The sequence below is a fragment of the Homo sapiens genome, chromosome 7, assembly GCF_000001405.40.
Source record: "Homo sapiens chromosome 7, GRCh38.p14 Primary Assembly".
In the NCBI taxonomy this organism is placed as follows: domain Eukaryota; kingdom Metazoa; phylum Chordata; class Mammalia; order Primates; family Hominidae; genus Homo; species Homo sapiens.
In genome coordinates, this window is record NC_000007.14 from 4,700,962 (window position 1) to 4,722,468 (window position 21,507).

Here is a 21,507-nt window from a genome sequence, read left to right on the forward strand (position 1 = left end):
GGAGGTTGTTGCAGGGCAGTGGGAAATGACTGCAGTGCTTTGAGCTGCTCACAGTGGAGCAGACTGGCCCTCAGGTCTGCTGAGCTCCCTGCCCCAGCCTGTTCCAGCAGGGGCGGCCGCTCACCAGCAAGGCTGTCATTCCTAGGCAGCATCTTGCACTGGCTGGAGAACGGGCTTCCTATCTCCAAGCTCCCTGCGGCTGTGAAGGCTGCACGATCAGAGCTAAACAGCAGGGGTTTGTTTTCTTGTGTTTTTCTGAGCTGCTTATCTAGAGAATGGGAGCTCAAAGGACGGGGGGCTAGAAGAGACAAACTCAGGTTTTACCTTGAATTAGTTTGAGTAACGTTTGTTGGGTACAGAGACTGGCCAAAACTTAGGGAGGACACTGAGATAAGAAGGTTTGATCTCAAAACAGTTCCCAGTTTTAGCCACCGTGCCCAGCCAATTCGTATGTATTTTAAGGTATTTTTTTAAATGTGGAAAAGTACAAAGGATATGTAACAAGTACTATTGACCGGGCGTGGTGGCTCACACCAGTAATCCCAACACTTTGGGAGACTGAGGTGGGAGGATCCCTTGAGCTCAGGAGTTCGGGACCAGTCTGGGCGACATAGCAAGATTCTGTCCCTGCAAAAAATAAAAAGTAAAAGGCCAGGCGCAGTGGCTCACGCCTGTAATCCCAGCACTTTGGGAGGTCGAGGCGGGCGGATTATGAGGGTCAGGAGATCAAGACCATCCTGGCTAACACGGTGAAACCGTGTCTCTACTAAAAATACAAAAAATTAGCCAGGCATGGTGGCGGGCGCCTGTAGTCCCAGCTACTCGGGAGGCTGAGGCAGGAGAATGGTGGGAACCTGGGAGGCGGAGTTTGCAGTGAGCGGAGATCGCGCCACTGCACTCCAGCCTGGGCGATAAGCGAGACTCCGTCTCAAAAAATAAATATAAATAAATAAAAAGTAAAAAATTATCTGGGCATGGTGGTGCTTGCCTGTACTCGCAGCTACTTGGGAGGCTGAGGTGAGAAGATCGCCTGAGCCTGGGAGGTTGAGGCTGCGGTGAGCTGTGACTGTACCACTGCACTCCAGCCTAGGCAACAGAGCAAGACCCTGTCTCAAAAAAAACCCCAAAAAGCAACAACAACAAAACCAAATCGTATTGTACCCACTAAGAATCCGTGCTTTTCATATTTTGTCATGTTTTTAAGCCCTTTTTAAAGAGACACATGACAGATAAAATTGAGGTCCCCTGTCCTCCACCTTCCCCTCCCGTTTCTGTCCCTTCTCCAGAGGCAGCTCCTGGAGGAATTTAACCCTAGACCTCCCGCGTATGTCACATACACACGTAGACATCTAAGAGGCATTTGTTGTTTGTGGGGTTTTTTTATTTATTTATTTTTTTTGAGATAGAGTCTCACTCTGTCGCCCAGGCTGTAGTGCAATGGTGCAATCTTGGCTCGCTGCAACCTCTACCTCCCTGGTTCAAGTGATTCTCCTGCCTCAGCCTCCGGAGTAGCTGGGATTACAGGCACGCGCCACCATGCCTGGCTAATTTTTTTGTATTTTTAGTAGAGACAGGGTTTCACCATGTTGGCCAGGCTGGTCTCAAACTCCTGACCTCAGGTGATCCCACCGGCCTTGGCCTCCCAAAGTGCTGGGATTACAGGCATGAGCCACCGCACCCGGCCAGCATTCATTGTTTAGTTCACGCGAGTTTTCAGGTTTGCGTTAGTGGTGTCGTGACATCTTCTTCATGATCCTGTTTGTGTTTTCCACTTCTCTGGAAAGACCGCTTCATAGGTTGGTGCCATCAGACATGCGTAACCCTAGTGGGTGTAGCCCCCCATCCTGGACGGGGCCTTGACGGGGCCTCTGGCCTCCTCCCCTGCCTTCCTCTTCTCAGCTCTGACCAGAGGGGATGGAAGCTTGTGTCCCTCTGGGTGACAGACCCAGCCTGCCCGCCCTACCCAGCTCGGGTTCTGGGTTCCTTTGTCCTCGTCCCCAGGGCTGCGTGTCCTGCTCGTCCTCCTGAGCTCCTGGCCTGTGTCTCCACCTAAAAGGCCGTCCTCAGCTCCCCCTGCCAGGTCCGGTTGGGGACCGAGACCCCTGGTTGCTTGCACTGCTGGGTGAGAGTGCCTCTGTGTCGGGGGCTGGGCTGGGCTGGGCTGGACTGGGAAGACTGGCTCTCTCAGGGGATTCCAGGGCAGGCGGCTGGGAGGGCGTTTCTGAGGAAGTGCTGTTTTAGCCGAGGTCTAAGTTACAGGCAGGAGCTGGCAATGAGGAGTCAGGGAGACAGACCTCCAGCCATTGGGCCTCTCCGCTCTGGGGTGAGGGGAGGGAGGGGGAGGACCCGAGGGGGCAGAGCATTTAGGACATGGAGTGGGTAGGGCGTTGTGACAGCCTGGCTCTCAGGGGATGGGAGGACAACTCGCTGAAGTTCGTGGCCCCAAGACATGCGGAGAACCCGCGTCTGCAGGGCTGGTGGCGTCCAGCACAGGGCAGGGTCCTGGTGTCCTCGCCCCACAAGGCTCCCCCAGGGTGGCCCGACCCTGCTGCGCGGGAGGGAAAGAGCCACAACAAGTTGAAGGTGCCCAGGAGACTTGGGTACATTTTGCTCATCTTAGGGTTGGGGACAGAACATCATTAAGAATTGTTTTTATATCTGGCAAAACTAAAAGCTTGAATATTAAAACCAAATGATCCCGGGTAGAGCTGCAGCTGGGGACTGGTGCGCCATGCAATTGACATAGCGCTGCTCGGGCGACCAGGAGGCCCTTCAGTGCTCCGGAGGCACTTTCAGAGCATCGTGACTAGATAAAAGTAGGTGAAAAGGGAATCGCAGCCTGCCGAGAGCTTTAGAGAGACTCCCCTAACCATGATTTAATCTGGGGAAGGGAGAAAAGTAACATATGGCAGTCACATTACATTATGACCATGAAGGCTAAATACTCCCAGTCACTATAAATACAGAAAACCAAACCTGGTGGGAAAAAATGCGTGTATACGTACCCCTACGTGTGGAAAACTGGCTACCGCATGCTTAACAAAATAACTTGGGAATGAATTACTCATGGTGAGGCTTCCGATCAGTGTCTAACCCTGGTAGCGTCTGCCAGTAGCCACACCGAAAGGGTCTACCAAGGGTACACTATGGACATTTTTCATTTAAAGGTGAAAGATTTTTTAAAATGCATTGCTAAGAAACATCCCTGGCCGGGCGTGGTGGCGCACACCTGTAATTCCAGCACTTTGGGAGGCTGAGGCAGGTGGATCACTTGAGGTCAGGAGTTTGAGACCAGCCTGGCCAATGTGGTAAAACCTCGTTTCTACTAAAAACACAAAAATTAGTCGGGCGTAGTGGGGCACGCCTGTAATCCCAGCTACTCGGGTGGCTGAGGCAGGAGAATCACTTGAACTCAGAAGGTGAAGATTGTAGTGAGCTGAGATCACGCCACTGCACTCCAGCCTGGGCAACAGAGTGAGACTCTGTCTCAAAAAAAAAAAAAAAAAAGAAAAGAAAAGGAAACATTCCTTTCATCAAAACACAAATAAATATTTTTCAAAAATTAAAAAAAAAAATGCTCAAAGGATTACCGGGTACTTTGTGAATAAATGTTTTCCCTATTTCGGAACTGGATAAGCTAAGCTGGGATCCACGCAGCACGCAGCAGGAGGGATTGCCCTGTGTGCTAGGCAAGGCTGACATCAGTGACAGCAGCGTCAGGCTGTGCTCGGATCACGGGCCCATCTGTAGTTATACTTTTTAAATTTTTTTTCTTCTGTTGTTTCTGTAGAGATAGAACCTCACTGTGTTGCCCAGGCTGGTCTCAAACTCCTGGCCTCGAGCCAGCCTCCCAAACCAATCTATGTTTCATTCTTTTTTTTTTTTTTTGAGAAAAAGTCTGGCTCTGTCACCCAGGCTGGAGTGCAGTGGCATGAACTCAGCTCACTGCAACCTCCACCTCCCTGGTTCAAGTGATTCTCCTGCCTCAGCCTCCCGAGTAGCTGGGACTACAGGCACATGCCACCACGCCCGGCTAACTTTTGTATTTTTAGTAGAGACAGGGTTTCACCCTGTTGGCCAGGCTGGTCTCGAACTCCTGACCTCAGGTGATCTGCCCGCAGCAGCCTCCCAAAGTACTGGGATTACAGCATGAGCCACTGCACCTGGCCTAAAAGTTTATTTTTCATCAGTCTACATTCTCCAATTTTTTAAAGTCAGAATTTTATTGTTTTGTTGCTGTTATTAGAGACAAGATCTCACTCTGTTACCCAGGCTGGGGGCAGTGGCATGATCACAGCTCACTGCAGCCTCAAACTCCTGGGCTCAAGCCATCTTCCCACCTCAGCCTCCCCAGTAGCTGGGACTACAGGCGCATGCCATCACCCTGGCCAACTTTTTTTTGTAAAGACAGGGTCTTGGTATGTTGCCCAGGCTGGTCTTGAACTCGTGGGCTCAAGCGATCCTCCCACCTTGGCCTCCCGCAGTGCTGGGATTACAGGCATAAGCAATCATGCCTGGCCTTAAGTGAGAATTCTTCTGTGTCATTTCCTTCTCTTTCTCTCTCTCTCTCTCTCTCTCTCTCTCTCTCTCTCTCTCTCGCTCTCGCTCTCTCGTCGCCAGGCTGGAGTACACTGGCGCAATGTCTGTTCACGGCAACCTCTGCTTCCCGCATTGAAGCAATTCTCCTGCCTCAGCCTCCCAAGCAGCTGGGACTATACAGGCTTGTGCCACCATGCCCGGCTAATTTTTGTATTTTTAGTAGAGAGGGGGTTTCACCACATTGGCCAGGATGGTCTCGATCTCCCAACCTCGTGACCCCCCCCCGCCTCAGCCTCTCAAAGTGGGATTACATGTGTGAGCCACTGCCCCGGCCTTCACGTGTCATTTCTTTTTGTAGGAACCAATTTTAAAAGAAAGCCGATTTTAAGAGCTCAGCTTTTAGGTTATATATCTATATAAACTATATCATTTCCAACTTTCAAAATTATATATATATATGTATATATATATACGTATATATACGTATATATACGTATATATACGTATATATACGTATATATACGTGTATATACGTGTATATACGTGTATATATGTATATATATGTGTATATATGTATATATGCAATCCATGCTTATAGAAAATTGAAAAATACAGAAATGCGAGCAGGAGAAAAGCCACATAGAACTCTCCACAAAGGTAACAGCGAACGTCATTTCAGCGCGTTTTCCTCCTGTTTCCATTTAAAGAGATCTATAGCAGGGACTTGGCTGAAACCTTGTATTTGCATATTCACAACGGCTGCTGATCAGAATCACAACTGGTTAGGGGCTTAAATACTTAAAATAAAATACCCCTTTTCTGTGAATGATCTGTTTAAGTGGGTAAAGTGCTCTGGCACCCTAAGTTAGGAGTTTATATCTGTGACACTCCTTCCCTCCAGCTAAACAGCAAGGGGAGGTGGTCAGGGAAGTTCCAGGAATGCAGGCCTCTGGCCCTAGAGTGGGGTGGGGCTGTGGATGCTGACAGTTGGGGGCCCATCGGAGACAGTCCCAAGCAGCATGGCTGGGTGTCTGTGGTTCCCTCCTATCAAGAAGGAACCTCTCCACCCTTCCTCAATGTGGGCAGAATCCTGACACCCACCCCACCAGCTGGATGAGGTAATGCCAACAGTCACCAAAAAGCAAAATGTGATTTACAGTTCTGTCTGAATTGTTTTCGGAGTGCAGAAATGTAAAGGAGGTCTTCATCATCCTCGTGAAAGACACGTACAGGGTGAAACGTTCGAAAGCTATGTGAATGAGGCATGATTTCCTTTGTCAGTATCAGCCAGGTCATCGCTGACCCCGGAGTTGGGCTGACCTTCCTTGGCCGCCCGGATGCCGACCCCCAATGCCCCTGTAGCCTGGAACTGCTGGGTCGGCCTGTGCCTTCTCCCTCTCACCTCCCCCCGGGACTTCTGAGTTCCTTCTCCAAGGAGGGCTGTGCCCTAGACTTCCGGGCCACTTCCCTCTACCCTTGTGCAGGAAATAACTTACCTACTTCATGCCCTAATTGAATTCCATTGCATTTTCTTCTTAAAATAAAAGACTAAAAACTAACGGTTGCTTCCTGCCTTTGTCCGTAATGGCCACCTTCCAGTCTTAGAGAAGCAGCGATGTCTCCCCTCCGGGTTTCCCATGATGTTACGTTGCCCTCTTTGTTACCACCCCTGGTGCGGTGGACACAGACATTGCCCAAACACTAACGGAGAGGGAAGAGGTGCGGGGAGCTCAGGGCGTTCGGGGTGGTGTTCTGGTGGAGGGGACGCTGGTAAAGAGCAGGTCTGGCTCAGTGCTTATTTCAGGGAAAACTCTTGTGATGAATGGGCCATCCGGGATAAACAGATGGGACGGAGAGTGCAATTTACATAACAATTAAGCTAGTTTAGTACATCCGGCAATGCTGCTGAAAGCAGGCCTCTCCCTGGGCGGGCTTTCCGTGTTATTAATCTACTTTATGACCCAGTTTCCCCAAATGGATAATTTCGCCTTGGTAGTGTTAAGATGTATTTAGCGACTCAAGTATCTGCAGCAGCGAGAGGGTGGGTGTGGGAGTCGGTGAATTGTCTCTTACGCCTTCCTTTCCGGGTTTTCCTGGAGAAGGCTGCCTCACTGGGTCTTTGCAGTTGGCGTGTTCCCCGGTGCCATTCGTATCTGATTCATGCGTGTGCGACCAGTACTCCATTTCACTTTTTTTTTTTTTGAGACGGACTCTCTCTCCGTTGCCCAGGCTGGAGTGCAGTGGCACGATCGTGGCTCTCTGCAACCTCCGCCTCCTGGGTTCAAGCAATTCTCCTACCTCAGCCCCCCAAGTAGCTGGGATGATAGGGCCCGCCACCGTGTCCGGCTAATTTTTGTATTTTTAGTAGAGATGGGGTTTCACCATGTTGGCCAGGCTGGTCACGAACTCCTGCCCCAAGTGATCCACCCTCCTCAGCCTCCCAAAGTGCTGGGATTACACCCATGAGCCACTGCGCTCAGCCTGTTTTCACCTGTTTTCTGAAATCTGAGTAAATGTGGAGGGAGAGAGTGCCCTGGTGCTGGGGTACCGCCTAGTAACTGGTGGGGAGTGAACTGGAAGGATGAGACCAGTTCCTTTTCCCAGCCTGGAACCCGCCCCGCCCTCCAGGAGTGCTTGGAATGTGCTCTTTGAAGGGCCCGAGTCTTCCACCAAATAAAGGCTTTTTCAGATGCTGATTTTGGTGCTGATGCTGTGTGGCTTTGTTTGGGTTCAGTTTTTATCCTGGCTGGCAGAGAGGTCTCTAAAAATGAGTCCCCGATGCTTTGTAAACATGACCTAGTTGCCGCAGTGACCCCAGCCGCCCTTAGGAAAACTGGAAGCCCCCGTGGATCGGGATCCGGCCTCCTTCATCCAGGGCTGCTGGTCGGGGGAAGCTCACCCGAAGGTAAATCAGAGTGGATCTTGGGAAGAGACCACTTCCTTGGGAAAGGTTGATTAGGTTAAACTCTAACTTGACCTTCAGTTATCCAAAGTCTCTCTCCAGGGTTAGGGTGGAATTTTACATGGCAGAACAAGAACTAAAGATGACCAAGTTTAAGAAATTGATATCATAAAAGTATAGCAATTTGCCCCGAATGGTATAAACTTGTGTGTGGCCTGGTAAGGAGAGTTCTCCCTGGTGTTTTTGTGGCTGCAGCAGGCGGGAGGCTGTTCCCTTCCTGGGGCTCCCAGCCTGGGGTGAACTTCATTCCTGCCAGCTTCTCAGAGCCTGGTTGGATATTGGTGGCCGTCAAGTGCTGCTTTTAGAAAAGAGGCTGGTAAGGCCGGGCTTGGTGGCTCACGCCTGTAATCCCAGCACTTTGGGAGGCTGAGGCGGGCGGATCACCTGAGGTCAGGAGTTCAAGACCATCCTGGTCAACATAGTGAGACCCCGTCTCTACTAAAAATACAGAAATTAGCTGGGCGTGATGGCGTGTGCCTGTAGTCCCAGCTACTCGGGAGACTGAGGCAGGAGAATTGCCTGAATCCGAGAGGTGGAGGTTGCAGTGAGCCAAGATCGCCCCACTGCACTCCAGCCTGGGCAATGAGCGAGACTCTGTCTCAAAAAAAAAAAAAAAAGAAAAGAAAAGAAAAAGAAAAACAAGGAAAAAAGAAAAGAGGCTGGTGGGAAAATGTAGTTCCTGGAAGCCTCGCCTAGCTGTTGCTGTGCACACTGGGGGCCCGAGGCCCCAGGATACCCCCGTGCCTTACCCACGCTATTTGCTGCCTGGCATCCCCACCCTGTCATCCCGAGAATCCCACTGCATGTTTTGGATCTGTCCGGGATCCCTCCTTGTTAGGCCAGGTCAGCGTGAGGCCGCCTACTGTGCCTCCTTCCCAGTGTCACGTTGCTGCGTCCACGAGCCTGGCTTCCGCTTCCATTCTCAGGGTCTGGACAGGGCCAGGCTCTTCCCAAGCGCACAGTCCACATAGGCTGCTTATCTGGACTCGATGTCTCCGAGCAGATCGAGGCTGGCCCACCCCTGCTGGCCCGCGACCCCTGCTGGCAGATCGAGGCTGGCCCGTGACCGGGGCAGGCGGACCTTCTCCGGGAGCCCTGTGCACAGTTGGCTTCGCAGCAGGCCTGTGTGGTCTGCTAGAAAAGGGGAGGTTGCAGAAGATTTTAACTTTGTTAAAATCATGAACTGGTTTTGCCGCAGTAAAGCGTAATTCACATGATACAAAACGTCAAATTGCGTTTTACGCCATTGGTTTGGACCCTGGAGCAGTGAAGTTCCACAGTGTCATGATAATTCTTGGCGTTGAGTGACCTCACGATGTGCTGTCCGTCTTCTCGCTGTTCAGCCAGCAGTTCACTGTCTGTAAAATAGGTCCAAAAGCCATCCCCACCTCCAAGGAGGGAGAGAGGATCGAATGAGTTCACTTAGAACAACGCGTGACACGTTTGAACACGGAAGAACACGGAAGCCTGTGTGTTAGGCGTTAACATTGTTCCCGCGTGAAGGGGTAGAAGAACAGGCAAAATCCATGATTTTTAAACGTTAAATTGTGTGGCGGTCAGTTAGTTCAGCGCCACTTCTTCTTACGGTTTTAATTGTAGTGTCAAAAAATTTCACAAAATTCAGTTTCTTGGTTTCCTCATCTGAATGAGAAGGTTGGCACTTAAATAGAATCTGTGACTGACTGTTTTGATGACTTTGGACGAGTAGTTCATCTGCTCTAAGCCTCAGTTTCCTCAGTCGCAAACAACACAAATGCCTGCTTCCTTTCTAAGATAACAGAGGTCTCAGAAAGTACAGGATAGGCCAGTGTACTGGCTCACGCCTGTAATCCCAGCACCTTGGGAGGCTAAGGCAGGAGGATTGCTTGAGCCCAGGAGTTTGCAGGCGGATCACCTGAGGTCAGGAGTTCAAGGCCAGCCTGGCCAACATGGTGAAACCCCGTCTCTACTAAAAATACAAAAATTAGCTGGGCGTGGTGAGGGGTGCCTGTAATCCCAGCTCCTCCGGAGGCCGAGGCAGGAGAATCGCTTGAAGCCAGGAGGTGGAGGTTGCAGTGAGCCTCAATCGCGCCACTGCACTCCAGCTTGGGCAACAGAGTGAGACTCCATCTCAAAAATAAATAAAGAAATACATAATAATGATAATAAATAGCTGTGTATTTTGGAGAAATGGGTGCAGCCGGGTGTATGGCCTTCTGCTCCTTGTGGGACCACAAGGGCATGTTCTTGCTTTGGAAGGGAGGGTCACATTCAGGGCGAGGGTGCGGTGGTGGCTCTGCAGCCCCAGCGGTGCAGGTTCTGGGCTGGTCTGCACGGGCCACGATACTGTTCATAGAAGCTGAGCTCAGCTGGAGCCACCAGTTCCCACCACTGAGAATTACAGCCATTCCACGTCGTGGATTTTTCCCATTTGTTTTCAGCTTGTTGTGACTCTTGTTCCTTCTCCTCGTCTGTGTAGTTCCTTCTGGGTAGAGATGTGTCTGTCCGCATTACCTGTCGACACCGTCCTAGCCACTGGGTTCTGGGAAGCCCCATCACGGTGCCTGAGCTTCACGGAGTTGCAGAGCAGCCTGGCTTTAGAGAACGCTTAGAGAAGATGGAGATGGATGGAGACGGCTGTCCATCAGCTGTGCAGGGCCAAGCTGGGCCTGGATCCTACTTAGTCTCTCTGACTTCTTCTACTCAAGCATGATGTCCGTTCCTGATGCCTTGCCCCGGGCAGCATGTGCCCAGCTCTGTTCAGGAAGCGTTGTGCTGGTGTGCCCTCCTGGGTCCCGACACCTGGGGGTGTTTTCACAGGGTGGGAAGGCTGAGTGTCCTGGGAAGCGTCCATGGGATGTATCAGTCAGGGAGGCTGGGCGCAGTAATAAACACGCCCAGAGTGGAAGGGCTTCCTGTGAGAGGGTGTGGCAGTCCGGGGGTGGGTCCCAGCCAGCCGCCAGCTCTCCCTGGAGTGATTCCTGGATGTTGAGGAGGGAGAGATCTGGAGTTAAGGAAGATGTGACTTTCTCAGTGGCCCTCAGACGTCTTGGCAAGTGAAGAGTGTGAAGAGGTGTGCCCCATCCCATGGCCACTGGAGAACTGGCAGAAGCTCCTAGAGCAGTTGGATGGGGAGATCAGAGTGGGTCTCAAGAGTGCCACTCCTCGGCATTGTGTGGATGGGCGGTAGTGAGAATAATTACTAAGGGCGTCATACCCTCTCGTATCTGCATCACCCATAAGGGGTGGGCAGTGGTGCTGCCGTGTCTTGTCAGGAGGCCAGCTCTGTGTCACCCACCAGGCTGGGCTCAGCCACAAGTCGGCAACGTAGTGCCTCCAGGGCAGATGCCACGGACCGTAGAGAAGCAACGCAAGGTCAGAGAGAAAAGATTGCGGCCGGCCGGTGTCAAGGCGGGGGACCTGTGAGCTGGGCCTGGAGCTGAGGCAGAACTTGATGGACTATGACTCAAGGTTGAGATGGGGCAGGGACTCCGGGGGAGGGGCAGAGGGCAGGTGCCGCCGAGCAGGAGGGAGGACGCGGCAGGTCACAGAGCCCACCAAGTCCGAAGCTGGAAGTTCAGATTCTTTGATATTCAGAGGTGGATCATCTGTGCTTTTTTTTTTTTATCAGTCTCTCACTTTTTATCCATCATCTAATTGTGACAGCTTATTTGCCTTTATACCATAAGATGGGGAGTAGGGTTGAGATGAAATCCAAGCATCGTTTCCCTTCCCCGATGGTCGCCTCCCTGGGGTGAGACGTTCGACGTGTCAGACTTCACCAAGAGCATCTCCCGCCTCGGTGCAGTAATGGACTTGGAAACGATTTACTCCGGCACTTGGTTCCTGTCTCCATAAATGCGGCTGCTTTAAAGGGAATGTAAAAAGGGCTGTAAATTGGTATTGATTGCCGGTGGTCTTGAAGAACCCCAACTGAGGATTGACCGTTCCTTGGAGTGAAGGCTCCGCATTCAGACGCCTTTCGCCTTACGTCATCATAATTGAGAAGGGAAAGGAGACGTGTTAGTTTCAGTCTGATTATTTACCATCAAGGCATAAACACTTCTCAGAGGCAGCTGAACCCATTTGTCCTGCCCCGCGCGCTTATTTGAGAAGGAACACGGAGAGTTGTTAGAATCAAACCACCGCTCTCTGAATTCTGGGTGTATTATTGCAGTCTCGAAAAGACTGGTCATGTTTGTCTTTAAGTGTACCAGCGATCAGGCTTCTCATTTTACACCTCAAGGGTTTCCGATCCTCTTACCTCGCTCATCTGTTGCCCTCTCAGATAGGAGATACTTGGTTCTGTTTATGCTGCAGAGTGTGTTCAAATCCGTTTATGATTAAATACTGCTCAAACAGCCAGGGCAGGGTTTATTGACACACAGCGGCGTGATGAGGATGGAGTGGTAGGGGATGAATCATTGCTCTCTGTTCTGTTTATTTCCAGTTGACAAGAGGTGACATTTATTTTTAAATCGTGCTCAGAGCTCTGTGACTTCTGCAGAACTCCAAACGAGATTTCATTTTTAAAATACATTAAAGAGGGGCGATAATGACCAGTGCCAGCAAAGGGGGCATGCCTTCTTCCTGGCCCCCTTAGGCCGATAACTCCACATCTGGAGCTCATAGATAACTTTGGTTCAGGTCATTTAATCCAAGTACATTTGTGGCTTGAAAAAAGAATTCTTTTCCTGCCCTATTAATTTGCTAGTTACTTACATTTTGAAATAGTCAACAAAGTTCATAGCTGTGGTCACAGCCCATTGTGTAATTTTAAAGTCGTTGAAAATTATTATTTCTTTTCTGTACTGATCGTAACAGTGCTCTGTGCCAGGCCCCAAGCTAGGCTCTGGGGTTGGGGCGGGCTGGGATTCCCGCTCACTGAGATTCCCGCTCACTGGGATTCCCGCTCACTGGGCTTGGTGTCGCGGAAAAAACGAAGGCAGAGAAAGAATTAGACCACGGTGCAGCCACTGCAGCTTCTGGGCCGGGAAAGCCCTGCGAGGTCAGCTCCCTAAACAAGAGAATTTGCATAACCACCGTGTTTTTTTTTTTGTTTTTTTTTTGAGGCGGAGTCTTGCTCTGTCGCCAGGCTGGAGTGCAGTGGCGCGATCTCGGCTCACCACAACCTCCCCCTCCTGGGTGCAAGTGATTCTCCTGCCTTAGCCTCCCGAGTTGCTGGGATTACAAGCACGTGCCACCACGCCCAGCTAATTTTTGTAATGTTAGTAGAGACAGGGTTTCACTGTGTTGGTCAGGCTGGTCTCCGACTCCTGACCTCGTGATCTGCCCGCCTTGGCCGCTCAAAGTGTTGGGATTACAGGCGTGAGCCACCGCACCCAGCCCCGTGTTTTCTTTTGAGTTTTTTCTTTTTTTCTTTTTTTCTTTTCTTTTTTTGGAGACAGAGTTTTGCTCTTGTTGCCCAGGCTGGAGTGCAGTGGCGTAGTCTTGGCTCACTGCAACCTCCACCTCCCGAGTTCACGTGATTTCTCCTGCCTCAGCCTCCCAAGTAGCTGGGATTACAAGCATGCGCCACCACGTCCGGCTAATTTTTTGTATTTAGTAGAGACGAGGTTTCACTGTGTTGGTCAGGCTGGTCTTGAACTCCTGACCTCGGGTGATCCACCCACCTCAGCTTCCCAGAGTGCTGGGATTACAGATGTCAGCCACTGTGCCCAGCCTCTTGATTTCTTACCCATCTTTAAGATGGTTTTTAAAGTTGTCTATTTTTGAGCCCTGAAAACTGGCCCGTAACTCCCAAATCTTGTCACCTTTACAAGACAGAACAAGGAGAGAACAGAGATCATCTTTTCATGTTGACCCTATTTTCACTGTGTGTGTCTGTTTGTTTGTTGAGACAGTCTCGCTGTGTCACCCAGGCTGGAGTGCAATGGCGCGATCTCAGCTCACTGCAGCCTCCACTTCTGGGGTTCAAGTGATTCTCTTGCCTCAGCCTCCCGAGTAGCTGGGATTACAGGCGTGTGCCCCCATGCCCGGCTAATTTTTGTTTAGTAGAGACCGGGTTTCGCCACATTGCCCAAGCTGGTCTCCAACTCCTGAGCTCAAGCTATCCGCCCACCTCCGCCTCCCAGAGTGTTGGGATTACGGGCGTGAGCCACCAGCCTGGCCCCTCTTTTCACTTTGAAAGGAAAAGTTTAGGTTTAAAGACATTACTTTTGTGTGTCAAAGTAGGAGTGCGTGCTTGCTTTGCTTTGTTTTTTCAAGGCTCATCTTAAGGATTTTGGCTTACGTATTTTCTAAGTAGGCGTTACATTCCCGCGGTTCAAAACTCAAAAGGTATGCGGTTAAAAATTTTGTTTTGGTTTTTTTTCCTCTCTCTCATCTCAGTTTCCCTCCTTAGAGAATCAGTTCCCAGCGTCTTGCAAAGGAAGGGCATAAAACCCAGATGTTTTGTCCACCTGAGTCCGATTTCTCCAGAGAGCTGCGATGAGCATCATGCTTTTGTGTGCTTTTGGGAAGTCTGCGTGCACGTGGAGTTGTGTGTATTCAGGGAGTGTCTTGTTGTAACGTGGTTCTGCATCTTTTTCTTGGTACAGAACAGAAGCCACACACCAGCGACAATCAGAGGTTACATAGGCTTGGGGCGTAGCTTTTCTGATCAGATGAGTTTCACGGCTTTAGTACAGAAAATATTCAAAGCCAGTGCAGCTGGAATTGTGATATAGTGCACGGTGGAATTGTGATACGGTACATGGTGGAACTGTGACGATACGGGGCACGGTGGAACTGTGGCGATACGGGGCACGGTGGAACTGTGATGATATCGGGCATGGCGAAATTGTGATACGGTGCATGGTGTTTTGTTTCAAGGAGAGATCGTAAGTCATGGCTTCAGTTTGCTGGCAAAGTGTGTCTCAGAGTGAAGCCGATAGGATCAAGCCCAAGTGTTCAGGGCGCTCAGCTGTGGGTGGCCCGTGTACAGGAATGGGATCGCACGGTGGTCCAGATCGTCTGTGCACCCATCCTTGCCCTGCCTCCCTCCTTCTAGGGGGTTGGCTGGAACTCGGGCCCCGCTGGCCGGCGGTAGGAGCTGGAATGCCCGAGCTCTGAGAAGCTCTTCATCTATCAGCAGTCAGCTTTCCACTTAAGCAGAGCCAAGTTTAGAATGAATGAATAGGATATTTTGAAATGCTCTGGTGTTGTGAAATACGGAACTTGGCGAGTTCTTGCGGCCATCCCTTTTGTTCCCTGCTGTGACTGACTGGCAGGAACCTGGGCTTGTCAAGTCAGTCTGTAGTGCACGCCGTTAGATTGGTTGTCATTGGCCAAGCCAGCTCCGGGCACCCTGAGGTTCCCTCACAGCGAATCCACCGAAGAGCGCTCCCATCCACAGCCGGCTCTTTGAATACTTAAAGAAATGTAGGAAAAGCAAAACTCACAAGACAATCCTTCCAGCCACTGGTCACAGGATGGCCGTTGCTGAACTTCAACATTGGCCACCAATATCTGCTGTCTGTGCTTAAAGGATCAAAAATGCAGACCTCAGTCAGGCGCAGTGGTTCACGCCTGTAATCCCAGCACTTTGGGAGGCCAAGGTGGGCAGATCACTTGAGGTAAGGAGTTCAAGACCAGTTTGGCCAATATGATGAAACCCTGTCTCTACAAATTAGACAGGCGTGGTGGTGGGTGCCTGAAATCCCAGCTACCTGGGAGGCTGAGGCAGGAGAATTGCTTGAATCCAGAAGGCAGAGGCTACAGTGAGTTGAGATTGCGCCTCTGCACTCCAGCCTGTGCAACATGTGCAACAGAACAAGACCCTATCTACAAAAAAAAAAAAAAGAAAGAAAGAAATACAGACTTCAAGGTGGAGGTTCACTTGAAGCCAGGAGTTCAAGACCAGCCTGGGTAACATAGCAAGACCCTGTTTCTACAAAAAAAAATTTTGTTGTGGTCAGCTGGATGTGGTGGCATGCACCCATAGCCCCAACTACTTGGGAGGCTAAGGCAGGAGGATCACTTGAGCCTGGGAGTTCAGGGCTGCCGTAAGCTATGATGGCACCACTGCTCTCTAGCCTGCGTGACACAGCAAGGCCCTGTGTCCCAAAAAAAAAGAGAAAAGAAATACAAACCAGCAGAATGGGCCACCTCCAAAAAGCCAGTACAGTGGGAGGGGCCCCAGACATGTCACTGTGGCCTGCTGTGGCCACGGGCAGGGCCAGAGCCTGAGCCTGGGTCCTTCTCAAGACCCAGTGCTGCTCTTGGAAGCGGGTGAGTACAGAGGCCAGTGAGGGCACAGCAGGTTCCGGGTGGAGGTGCTCCTTGGAAGCTGTGTGAGAGGGGCTGTGGGTGTCTCCATTTTACTGGTTTGGAGCTGGCTTACATAGGCGTCACAAAACAGATGTCTACAAGTTTTCATTTTATGAACTATTTTAAGCTGATTGCTTGATTTTTCTTTATCTTAATAGAGATTAAAATTGGTTGGTTTGTGTCTGGCTTGTATGTGCAGCACATCCCCAGGTGAAGGGCAAGTTGTACGTGGTGGGAGGCGCATGGCTGGGAGGCGTGTGGCTGGGAGGTGGTGGCTGGGAGGCGCGTGGCTGGAAGGTAGTGGTGGGAGGCGTGTGGCTGGGAGGCACGTGGCTGGGAGGTGGCTGGGAGGCGTGTGGCTGGAATGTGGTGGCGGGAGGCACGTGGTTGAGAGGTGCGTGGCTGGGAAGGCATATGGCTGGAAGGTGGTAGCGGGAGGCGTGTGGATGGAAGGTGATGGTGGGAGGTGCATGACTGGGAGGTGTGTGGCTGGGAGGCATGTGGCTGGAAGGTGGTGGCGAGAGGCATGTGGCTGGAAGGTGGTGGCGGGAGGCATATGGCTGGAAGGTGGTAGCAGGAGGCGTGTGGATGGAAGGTGGTGGCGGGAGGTGCGTGACTGGGGAGGTGTGTGGCTGGGAGGCATGTGGCTGGAAGATGGTGGCGGGAGGCATATGGCTGGAAGGTGGTAGCGGGAGGTGTGTGGATGGAAGGTGGTGGTGGGAGGTGCATGACTGGGAGGTGTGTGGCTGGGAGGCATGTGGCTGGGAGGCATGTGGCTGGGAGGCGTATGGCTGGGAGGTGCCTGGCTGGGAGGCACGTGGCTGGGAGGCAGTGGCAGGACGTGCATGGCTGGGAAGCAAGTGTCTGGGCTGCGTAGCTGTAAGGCAAGTGTCTGTGAAGCGCATGACGGGAGGTACTCCACCCTAGCCCCAGAGGCAGGGCCCTTCCCTGCACCTGACCTCACTGCCCGCCTGGTCCTGGTGGCCTCCTTGTCTCTCTGAGCATTGCAGCTTCATCTGCACGAGGAGGCGCTTGAACCCTGCCTCTAAATGCTGTTTCTTCTGAAGCTTTGCTGCACCGTGTATGTTTAGTTACAAACACACTAGTCCATGCTCCAGGTGAAGACCGACCACCGCCGTGTGTTGCCCGCGTCTTTGGGCTCTGGTCTCAGATTGGGTGATGGTTTTCTATTGTAAAAGTGGGAGAATATTAAGCATTTTTGCCTCGTCACGTTTTCTTCCTGATAAATGTCCACAGACCCTGGTTTATGGTTTTTTACTCCCCCTGTGTGCCATTTCAGTGTTGAAGGAAAGGAAAGTGGGGGTCGCTGCCTCTGGGGGCCCTGTTGCCCGTGTTCCCACCAGCTCCATGGACACACTTTCCATTTGGAAACAATCACAGATTCACAAGGAGCAGCAGACGTGTTGCAGAGGTCCCTGCACAGCCCACCAGCCTCCTCCGACGCGTCCATCAGCATCACAGCCGGGAAGTTGGCATCGGTGCGCTGTGTGTGGTTCCGTCATCTCATCCCGTGTGGCTCTGCGACCGCCACCTCGGTCACCACGCAGAGCCATCCCCACCGTGGCGGCCACGCAGCCATTGTAACCCTGGAAACCAGTAAATGCGTCTCCATGGCTGCAGGCCTGTCGTTATGAGAAGGTTTCAGAAGCGGGCTCGTCCGCAGCTCAGGGCCGTCTTTCTGAGTTGTGGGCCTCAGGAGTGGATTCCTTTTTATTGCTGAGATGCCACTGGGTGGAGGTTCCCCTGTTTGTTTGACCCCCTGTCTACTGAAGTACATTAGTTTTTCCATTTTTCGGCCTACTACAAATACAATAGCTGCTGTGAGCAACCATGCTTAGGTTTTGAGCGGACCTAGGTTTCCCTCGTCAGGGTGAGTACCCGGGAGTGCAGTGCCTAAGGCCTGTCCTTGGCATAGGTTTTGTTTTTAAAGCAACTGCCGACCTCGCTTTCAGAGTGGCTGCCATATTTTACCTTCCTTCCACCCATGTATGAGAAGCCCAGTGTCTCTGCAGCCTCACCAGCATTTGCTGTATTTGTTTTAATTTTAGCCATTCTGATAGGTATGTAGCTTTTGTTTTTTTGTTTGTTTGTTTGAGACGGAGTTTCACTCTTGTCACCCAGGCTGGAGTGCAGTGGCACAATCTCGGCTCCCCACAGCCTCCGCCTCCGGGGTTCAAGCGATTCTCCTGCCCCAGCCTCCCGAGTAGTTAGGATTAGAGGGACCCGCCACCACGCCCGGCTAATTTTGTATTTTTAGTAGAGACGGGGTTGCACCATGTTGGTCAGTCTGATCTCGAACTCCCAACCTCAGGTGATCCACCCACCTTGGCCTCCCAAAGTGCTGGGATTACAGGCATGAGCCACCACACCCAACCTTGTTTTTTTTGTTTTTTTTTTGTTTGTTTTGTTTGTTTGTTTTTGAGACAGGGTCTCACTCTGTTGCCCAGCTGGAGTGCGATGGCACAATCATGGCTCACTGCCGCCTTGAACTCCTGGGCTCAAGTGTTCCTCCTGACTCAGCCTCCCGAGTAGCTGGGACTACAAGCGTGCACCACTATGCCTGGCTAATTTTAAAAAAAGATTCTTTTAATAGAGATGAGGTCTTGCTGTGTTGTCCAGGCTGGTTGCAAACTCAGCCTCAAATGATCCTCCCGCCTCTGCCTCCCAACGTGCTGGGATTACAGGTGTGAGCCACGGTGCCTAGGGAGTAGGTAGCTGTCTTAGCTTTGTGTTTCCCTAATAGCTAACTACACTGCACATATTTTTTTGACAGAATCTCACTCCATCACCCAGGCTGGAGTGCAGTGGCGAGACCTTGGCTCACTGCAACCTTTGCCTCCTGGGTTCAAGCAATTCTCCTGCCTCAGCTTCCTGAGTAGCTGGGACTACAGGCACACGCCACCATGCCCATCTAATTTTTGTATTTTTAGTAGAGATGGGGTTTCACCATGTTGGCCAGGCTGGTCTCGAACTCCTGACCTCAGGTGATCCACCCGCTTTGGCCTCTCAAGGTGCTGGGATTACAGGTTTGAGCCACCGCGCCCGGCCTGCATTGAACATCTCTTCATGTGCTTATTTACCATCTGCAGAGCCTCTTCAGTGAAATACCTCCTCGTGTGTTTTGTCCTCGTTCTAATTGAATTGTTTGGTTTTTATACTGAATTTTGAGTTTTTCCTGTATTCTAGATAGGAGTCTCTTCTCCCAGCTTGTGACCTCTTTATCCTCTCATTGGACGCCTGCGCCCATCCAGAGCTTTACGTTTTGATGACGTCCGATGTGTTGAGTTTTTTCTTTTTCTTTTATAGATCCTGTTTTTGGTGTCATGGCTAAGAACTCTTCACCAAGCCCCAGGTCCTGAAGGATTTTTTGAAATTTGAATAGTTTTTCCCTCATTGGTTTCTCCCTGGCTGCCTTGTTTCTGGTTTTCAGAAGCCTGGTTGAGTTTCTTCGGGTTCATCCTGCATGGGGCTCACTCATCTTCAGTCTGTAGGTTTATCATTCTGACCAAATCTGTACATTTTTCAGCCATTATTTCTTTGAGGGTTTTTTGCCTCATCTGCTTTCTGTTCTTCTTCTGGGATTCAGTGACATGCATGGGAGAGCTTTTGTTATGTATGGTCTAGTGTGTCCCTGAGACTCTTAAGATTTGATTTTCAGCCTCTTTTTCTCTGTTGTTCAGGTTGGGTAATCTTTACTGTTTCAGCTTCAAGCTCGCTGATTTCTTTCCTATGGCTTTTTCATTCTGTGTGAGCCCATTCATTGAGGTTTCATTTCAGCTGCTGTACTTTTTAGATGTAAAATTTCCCCTGTGCCTCAGTGGGGATGGGCAGCCTGTGGCCAACTTCGATGCTGGCAGAGCCAGGCCGGGGAGACTCCAGCCTCAGCCCCATCTCTCCCGAGCAGGCAGATGCTTCCTGAGAATTAGGCAGACCTGTTGGAAACTGGCTTTGTATGCTGCGTGCCTAGCTTTTTACTTTTTTTTTTTTTGAGACAGAGTCTCTGTTGCCCAGGGTGGAGTGCAATGGCGCGATCTCGGTGCAGTGGCGCGATCTTGGCTCACTGCAACCTCTACCTCCTGGGTTCAAGCGATTCTCCTGCCTCAGCCTCCTGAGCACCTGGAATTAGAGACATGCACCACCACGCCCACTTAATTTTTGTATTTTTAGTATAGACGGGGATCCATAAAAGAAAAAAAAAACTCAACACACGTGTTAGTCAGGCTGGTCTCGAACTCCTGACCTTATGTGATCCGCCCACCTCGGCCTCCCAAATTTAGCTTTTTACCTAGGTCTTTTTTGTCTTTCAGTTAAGTTTTGTAGTTTTCTCTGCACGGGCCCTCCGTGCCCCGTCCCTTTCTTGCTTTACTCTGTCACTGTTGCCGTAAGTGCTTTCCCGAGTCAGCAGCCTCCCTCTGTGCATCAGGGCCCTGGAGGAGGTTCTCCGTTCAGTCTGCACGCTTGGCTCAATGCAGCAGCTCAGACTGGAGCTTGGATCCTGGACATCGTGGGGGCTTTGCCTGTGTGTGGCAGTGCACAGGGGCCTTGGAAACCCCCCGGAGCTCCCCAGCCTTGAGCTGCCGGCCTAGCCCTGTGTCGCTGCAGCCCATAATGGTGCAACCTTCTGATGACCTTGGTGAGAAGCGACCATTCCCTGCGACCCCCAGCCTGTTTCCTGCAGGTGACAGTGGCTCAGTAAAATGCCTTGAATTCTAATCTCCAGGCGTCGGCTGTCAGTTAACTTCAGAAAGAACTTTTTCTGAAACTTTGAGAATAAGAATAATTCCAGCTCTCCAATGATAAGAGCTCACAGATGGCAGCCTAAGAAGGACTTTTCTCTTTTCTTTTTCTTTTTTTTCTTTTTTTTTTTTTTTTTTTGAGTCAGAGTCTTGTTGTGTCACCCAGGCTGGAGTGCAGTGGTGCGATCTTGGCTCACTGCAACCTCTCCCTCCTGGATTCAAGCAGTTCTTCTGCGTCAGCCTCCCAAGCAGCTGGGATTACAGGCGTGAGACACCACGCCCAGCTAATTCTTGCATTTTTAGTATAGACAGAGTTTCACCGTATTGACCAGGCTGGTCTTGAACTCCTGACCTCATGTGATCCTCCTGCCTCGGCCTCCCAAAGTGCTGAGATTACAGGCGTGAGCCACCACGCCCGGCCTGTTTTCATTTTAATATTTGAGTTTTGTTTTTCCAAATTAGATTTCTCAAATGTAAATGCATCCCTTTCTCGTGCAGGAGTAACGGGGACGCGCACAGCCGTGTTACTTTCTCCCAAAGGAGGCAGCCGGGGTGAGACTGGTGACCCCGCTGCATCCCATACCCTCCACCCATCCCAGCAGCCTCATGCCTGTGGGTGGGACGTGCTAGAGGAGGGGACTTTGGTGGGGCCTTGGGCTCTTGGTCACATCCTGCCCTGATTCAGAAGATGGCGGGGCAGGAGGTGTCTGTGTCTCAGCAGATGCTGGATTTCACGTCCACGGCCGCCTGGAAATAAATGCCAGCACCGTGCAAGCTGGCTTTGCATTCTCTGCCTTTCCCGAGCGTCCCTGCCTCAGATTCCAAAATCTGTTGTTCTAGAAACTCTCTAAGGTTTTACCCAGATTCCCATTGTTGCCTCTTATGTACTTTGGTCGTTCGTATTTCCTAGGCTTAAAACCCATTCTCCTGTGAAGAGGCCTTCCCTGAGATCCTGGCCAGAGGAGGTCCCGTGGCCAAGTGGCAGCGGTGCCGGACATA

General features: G+C 51.1%; 1 protein-coding gene across 1 annotated transcript in view, besides 8 other annotated features; it reads left to right on the top strand.

Moving 5' to 3' along the window:
- The window catches only part of FOXK1 (forkhead box K1), an 89,148-nt gene that overhangs the window by 18,667 nt on the left and 48,974 nt on the right, over positions 1-21,507 (top strand). The gene's annotated exons all lie outside the window — the stretch shown is intronic.
- Positions 1,491-2,250: an enhancer, noted in NCBI's record as "H3K4me1 hESC enhancer chr7:4742083-4742842 (GRCh37/hg19 assembly coordinates)". NCBI's record gives its function as "activates a minimal SCP1, AML or CMV promoter by ChIP-STARR-seq in naive H9 embryonic stem cells {active_cell/tissue: H9 hESC(naive)}" and the evidence as "EXISTENCE:reporter gene assay evidence [ECO:0000049][PMID:30033119]".
- Positions 3,851-4,492: an enhancer, noted in NCBI's record as "H3K27ac-H3K4me1 hESC enhancer chr7:4744443-4745084 (GRCh37/hg19 assembly coordinates)". NCBI's record gives its function as "activates a minimal SCP1, AML or CMV promoter by ChIP-STARR-seq in primed H9 embryonic stem cells {active_cell/tissue: H9 hESC(primed)}" and the evidence as "EXISTENCE:reporter gene assay evidence [ECO:0000049][PMID:30033119]".
- Positions 5,135-5,776: an enhancer, noted in NCBI's record as "NANOG-H3K27ac-H3K4me1 hESC enhancer chr7:4745727-4746368 (GRCh37/hg19 assembly coordinates)". NCBI's record gives its function as "activates a minimal SCP1, AML or CMV promoter by ChIP-STARR-seq in naive H9 embryonic stem cells {active_cell/tissue: H9 hESC(naive)}" and the evidence as "EXISTENCE:reporter gene assay evidence [ECO:0000049][PMID:30033119]".
- Positions 5,777-6,418: an enhancer, noted in NCBI's record as "OCT4-NANOG-H3K27ac-H3K4me1 hESC enhancer chr7:4746369-4747010 (GRCh37/hg19 assembly coordinates)". NCBI's record gives its function as "activates a minimal SCP1, AML or CMV promoter by ChIP-STARR-seq in primed H9 embryonic stem cells {active_cell/tissue: H9 hESC(primed)}" and the evidence as "EXISTENCE:reporter gene assay evidence [ECO:0000049][PMID:30033119]".
- Positions 6,419-7,060: an enhancer, noted in NCBI's record as "OCT4-NANOG-H3K27ac-H3K4me1 hESC enhancer chr7:4747011-4747652 (GRCh37/hg19 assembly coordinates)". NCBI's record gives its function as "activates a minimal SCP1, AML or CMV promoter by ChIP-STARR-seq in naive and primed H9 embryonic stem cells {active_cell/tissue: H9 hESC(naive and primed)}" and the evidence as "EXISTENCE:reporter gene assay evidence [ECO:0000049][PMID:30033119]".
- Positions 7,061-7,702: an enhancer, noted in NCBI's record as "OCT4-NANOG-H3K27ac-H3K4me1 hESC enhancer chr7:4747653-4748294 (GRCh37/hg19 assembly coordinates)". NCBI's record gives its function as "activates a minimal SCP1, AML or CMV promoter by ChIP-STARR-seq in naive H9 embryonic stem cells {active_cell/tissue: H9 hESC(naive)}" and the evidence as "EXISTENCE:reporter gene assay evidence [ECO:0000049][PMID:30033119]".
- Positions 8,345-8,985: an enhancer, noted in NCBI's record as "H3K4me1 hESC enhancer chr7:4748937-4749577 (GRCh37/hg19 assembly coordinates)". NCBI's record gives its function as "activates a minimal SCP1, AML or CMV promoter by ChIP-STARR-seq in primed H9 embryonic stem cells {active_cell/tissue: H9 hESC(primed)}" and the evidence as "EXISTENCE:reporter gene assay evidence [ECO:0000049][PMID:30033119]".
- Positions 10,307-10,839: an enhancer, noted in NCBI's record as "H3K4me1 hESC enhancer chr7:4750899-4751431 (GRCh37/hg19 assembly coordinates)". NCBI's record gives its function as "activates a minimal SCP1, AML or CMV promoter by ChIP-STARR-seq in naive H9 embryonic stem cells {active_cell/tissue: H9 hESC(naive)}" and the evidence as "EXISTENCE:reporter gene assay evidence [ECO:0000049][PMID:30033119]".